The sequence below is a fragment of the Homo sapiens genome, chromosome 9 (assembly GCF_000001405.40).
Source record: "Homo sapiens chromosome 9, GRCh38.p14 Primary Assembly".
In the NCBI taxonomy this organism is placed as follows: Eukaryota; Metazoa; Chordata; class Mammalia; order Primates; family Hominidae; genus Homo; species Homo sapiens.
In genome coordinates, this window is record NC_000009.12 from 22,819,358 (window position 1) to 22,825,357 (window position 6,000).

The window sequence follows — 6,000 nt, forward strand, 5'->3', positions numbered from 1 at the left end:
GTACACTCCACACTTACTGAATATGTACAGTTTTCAGAACACACCTGATGTAGATTATGTTTTTAACCCCAGTGCCGCCACATTCATGCTACTTCCTCTTTCGGGCCTTTCGCTACCATCTGTACCTTCCCTACCTATGGTCTAGTTTACCTTTATTTTTATGAATGGAAGCAGCTATAAGATACCCAGAGAGTTTAGGAGAGTCTTGTTGTAATAAAGGTATTCACTGAGTTCTATTTGCTCAAGGAAAAGCACACTTTAGAGATGCTCTTTTTGAGTCATTATGGTATCAAGTTGGTATTGTTATTGCATGAATCAATGAAGAATAGTCTGATAATGGAAACACTCAATGGGGATATTTGCATAAATGCTCTGTTTTGTTATATTGATGTGAAAAATTCTGATCCTCTTTCATTAAGGTGATTTTTGTAGAGCATTGTGAATCACACACGCACACACACACACACACACACACACACACACACACAAATCCATTTCCATCTACATTCAAATTTTACTGCATCTCAAGAGCCTAGGAAATTTTAGTGTGGGAAAAGAGCTGTAGAGAACCAGAGCTAGTAGCTGTTGCAATTACAAAATGATCAGAACATGTCTACATTATCAATCTAACTTACCCTCTGCCACTCCATTTTGGGGTTAAAATAGAATTTAAAGAGTCTGAATATTTTGACATGATAGAGGGTTAATCTTTCAGGAAATAAAATTTGAAAACCTGTTCAATGTCTTCACGATGTCATAGAAACACAGAATAAAAGAAGCAACATATTTGTAGGGTAGATGCTTAGTTTTGAACACTAACTTCAAATCAGACACTTAGAAGTTATACGATATTTTAACAAACAATTTAATTTCCCTGAACTTTATTTTCTGCATCTGTATGTAATAAAATTTACTTCACCAAGTTAGCTAGAAAGTCAATGAGAGAGCATAAAGGAATGCATTTTGTATACTATAAAACTGAAGAGATTGCACATTAATCACTAAGAGATTATGTTAATATAAAATTCATAATTATCACACATTGTAAGATAATTTTATAATTAATATGACCATGACCAATTATTATCATATTCTGGGCTGTGATTCTTGCATTTTCAATCACGAAAAATCAATTACGATAATATCAAAAATTATTGTGGATAAACTCCTGTAATATCATTGATAAAGAAAAAGCATAATGGCAGACAGTATTAGGATAGTGCAAACATAACTGTGGTTTTTTGCATTGTTGAGATTTGCTGTTTGATATTGGAATACATTCTTAAATGAATGTAGGTTATACATCATTTAACTGTTCATTTCTCAATTTATAATTTTTTTTGCTAATGACTTCTTGTTATTTATTTTATATTTATTTAGACTATGGAAATGATGTTAGACAAAAAGCAAATTTGAGCAATTTTGTTATTCGGGTTCAAAATGGGTCGTAAAGCAGCAGAGACAACTCTCAAAACATCAGCAACACATTTGGCGCGGGAACTGCTAATGAACGTACAGTGGAGTGGTGGTTCAAGAAGTTTTGCGAAGGAAACGAGAGGCTTGAAGACGAAGAGTGTAGTGGCCAGCCATTGGAAGTAGACAACGACAAATTGAGAGCAATCATTGAAGCTGATCCTCTTACAACTACAGGAGAAGTTGCCAAGGAACTCACCATCAATCATTCTATAGTAGTTTGGCATTTGAAGCAGATCGGAAAGGTGAAAAAGCTTGATAAGTGAATGCCTCATGAACAGAGCAAAAATTTTAAAACATTGTTGTTTTGAAGTGACGTCTTCTCTTATTTTACACAACAATGAACCATTTCTGGATCGAATTATGACATGTGATGAAAAGTGGATTTTATATGACAAGCTGCAAAAACCAGCTCAGTGGTTGGATGGAGAAGAAGCTTCAAAGCACTTCCCAAAGCTGAACTTGCACCAACAAAAGCTCATGGTCACAATTTGGTGGTCTGCCGCCAGCCTGATCTACTACAGCTTTCGGAATCCCAGCGAAACCATTATGTCTGAGAAATATGCTCAGCAAATCGATGAGATGTGCCAAAAACTTCAAGGCCTGCAGCCGGCATTGGTCAACCAAAAGGATCCAATTCTTCTCTACCACAACGCCTGACCACATGTCACATAACCAACCCTTCAAAAGTTGAATAAATTGGTCTACAAAATTGCCTTATCTGCCATATTCACCTGACCTCTCACCAACCAACTACCACTTCTTCAGGTATTTCGACAATTTTTTGCAGGGAAATTGTTTCTACAACCAGCAGGATGCAGAAAATGCTTTCCAAGAGTTCACTGAATCCCAAAACATGGATTTTTATGCCATGGGAGTAAGCAAACTTATTTCTTGTTGGCAAAAATGTGTTGATTGTAATGGTGTCTATTTTGATTAATATAGATGTGTTTGAGCCTAGCTATAACAATTTAAAATTCACAATCCAAAACCACAATTATTTTTGTATCAACCTAATACTATAGATTTAACAATATTAAATTACAAAGCCTTTTAATTCAAAATAACAGGCATATGTCTTTTGGGTGAACAGTAAAACAGTATATATATATATATATATATATATATATATATATATATATATATATACACACACACACACACATATATAAAACATATATACTGACCATACGTATACACACGTGTGAGTGTGTGTTTGTGTAAACTCCATGCTTGATGGACGGATGGAATAGATCTGTGAGCAACAAAACCACAGTTACTCAGGAATTCTTGACTTAAAAGTCAGCAGCATCAGTGCTAGATGAATGCCATATATACATGAATAGAATCCAAAAACCTATCAGCCTAACTCCAAATTTTAATAACTTCCTCAGTGTCCTCCCAGCACTTAGTAATAGGGCCAGTATTGTTTAAATACTATCATTTTTTCATCGATTATTTAAGTTTCTTGTCTGTTCACAGATACAGTATTTGAAGATTCCAAATTCCTCAATAAAATTAAATTGTTTATTTTCATTAGCAAAGCAAAGTTCTGACAAAATATTTGATGCCTTATTTGAGGTGTTAGGAAAACGACTGGAATTAGATCAATGGTGTTTTTTATAAAGCAAAACCTGCTATAAATATAGATTAGATTTGCAACCAGATTTCATTAACTTATCAAAGGAGCAGTGGGTCAGCAATTTCGAGACATTTTCCTTCAGAACTCTTGTCACATTCCAGAATTTCTCAGAATGATTTTGGTATTTATATGGGAATTTCGAAAGAAACTTCAAAAGAAAGTATGTGACTAATTCTACATGCCTGCATTTTGTTACCTAAATTCTGGAGAGGGACATGTAATGTCAGATGACGACATCTCTACCCTCCTTGCCACCTAGGTACAAAACCTCAGTCATCCCTATACATTCTTCTCTTTCTTACTTTTCAACCACTTGACATCTAAGTATATATGTATGGTTGTTATCCCTAAAATAATAGCCAAAGTTGTCCTGCATTGAATTTGTAAACCAATCTGAGAATAACTGAAATCTTTATAAAGTCTTCCAATCCATGAAGATGATTTATTCCTCCATATATTTGAGTTCTTTTAAATATCATTCATAAAGTTTGTTGTTTTACAGGTTTATTCCATGGTACTTGGTATTTTATTTTGCACATTTTTGTGATGCTGCTATATTTTGCCTGCAACTAACCAATGGAAATTACTTAAAATCCTTCACCAAACCTTTCACTTAGGCATTGATAGCACCCATCAGATGGACAAATTATTATTTGTTGGACCAGGCCTTTTCAAAACTATCAAGCAGATAGTCAGGTCCTGTGAAGTGTGCCAAAGAAATAATCCCCTGTATGCAGGCCATACATTTCAATCTCTGTATCTTTAACCTCCTTGTTAAGTTTGTCTCTTCCAGAATCAAAGCTATAAAACTACAAATGGTTCTCCAAATGGAGCCCCAGATGCAGTCCATGACTAAGATCTACTGCGGACCTCTGGACCGGCCTGCTAGCCCAGCTCCCACATTAATGACATCAAAGGCACCCCTCCCGAGGAAATCTCAACTGCATGACACCTACTACGCCCCAATTCAGCAGGAAGCAGTTAGAGTGGTCGTTGGCCAACCTCCCCAACAGCACTTGGGTTTTCTGTTGAGATGGGGGACTGAGAGACAGGACTAGCTGGATTTCCTAGGCCAACTAAGAATCCCTAAGCCTAGCTGGGAAGGTGACTACACCCACCTTTAACCACTAGGCTTGCAACTTAGCTCACACCCGACCAATCAGGTAGTAAAGAGAGCTTGCTAAAATGCTAATTAGGCAAAAACAGGAGGTAAAGAAATAGCCAGTCATCTATCGCCTGACAGCACAAGGGGCGGGACAATGATCAGGATATAAACTCAGGCATTCAAGCCAGCAATGGCTACCCACTTTGGGTCCCCTCCCATTTTATGGGAGCTCTGTTTTCACTCTATTAAATCTTTCAACTACCAAAAAAAAAAAAAAAGAAAAGAAAAACAATTAACTTTTTTATATATCAGTTAAATTCATCCATGATGTTTTTTATGTTTTCTGTATTCTTACTGGTCATTTTTCTATTTGTTCTATCAAGTATCCAGGAATATGTGTTAAAGATGTCCACTTCAATTGTGAATTTCTTGAGTTGTTCTTTCAGTTTTGTTCTTTTTTTACCTTATGCATTTTGAAGTTGTATTATTTCCTGCATACAAATGTAGAATTGTGGTGTCATTCTTTTGGAGTAAACCATGATCATTACTGGCATGACTTACTTACTTACTATCTATCTAGACATGTTGATTGCTTCAATTTCTACTTTAATCTTAATAAAAATACACCAACTTTTTAAAAAGTATTACGTCTTGTATTTCTTTCTGTTTGACTTTATTATTACATATGCTTTTTTCTCTTCATTTGCCAGAGTCTTTGATTGATCAACAAGCTGTTTTAATCTACCATTTTTTATCTCTAACATTTTATGTAGAGCTTCTCTTACTTTTTAGTTATTCAAAAGATGCATCTTTCAATTATTCTAGTCTTAAACGTAAAGATGACTTTTTTCATTTACTGACAATGTCAGTAATCCAAAACTTTTCTATTTAACTCCTTCTACCTTTTATGTTATTGTTGTCCTGAATTTCATTCTACATGAGTTGAAACCTCATAAGGGATTGTTGTTGTTTTTATGCAAACATTTACTTATATTTACCCACATATGTACAGTTTTCTTATTGCTCTCTATGCATTCTTACAATTTTCTACTTTTATATCTGTCATCATTTCCTTCTCTCTATTAGTATTTCTTTTTATTCATATATTTTAGCAAAACGTTTTCTCAGTATTTGTTGTCCAAAGTGTCTTACATGGTTTTTTTTTATGATGTTCAGAAACTGAGATTACTCAACATTTGGCTACATTTCGGGGGTAAGAGTCTGAATTGGATTCACCCTGCTTCCACAGTGTAGTCTTCTAGGTATCCGACTGAAAATCAGTAGTTGCTCTTGACTCTTTTGTAAATGAACGAAAATACACACACACACACACACACACACACACACACACACACACACAAATGTTATAAGATTTTTGGAAGTTTTTCCCAGATAGGTAGTTAAATAATAAACATAATTTAAATTGTTTAGAACAAAACATAGCTCAAATGATTTATAGTATTTATGGTATTACCATATTAAAATGTGTGAAATTGTATATCTTTATTGAAAATTTAATTGTACATATTTATTGAAAGCTAAAGCTTCTAATAAAAAAGAATAGAAAATCCCAAAAAGAAAATATTATTTCTAAGTGCAATTATATAAAACAATAGAATACAGATATATTAAATAAAGATACTATCTGTATATCTTAATTTTATTTACTATTTTAATCTATTTTATGACTTCCTATTGCCCTATGGAAAATTTTCTCAATTTTAATATGTCATTAATTTATTATTTACTCCAAACGTTTATCAATCCTGCTGTTTTCCAT

General features: G+C 34.0%; 1 long non-coding RNA gene across 1 annotated transcript in view; it reads left to right on the plus strand.

Moving 5' to 3' along the window:
- LINC01239 (long intergenic non-protein coding RNA 1239) overlaps nt 1–4,856 on the plus strand; it is a 178,014-nt gene extending 173,158 nt beyond the window's left edge. The window contains exons 5-6 of the long non-coding RNA NR_038977.1: nt 1,381–2,241; nt 3,895–4,856. This is a non-coding gene — a long non-coding RNA (long intergenic non-protein coding RNA 1239). The remainder of the gene's footprint in view (nt 1–1,380; nt 2,242–3,894) is intronic.
- Nucleotides 4,857–6,000: the final 1,144 nt, after the last annotated feature.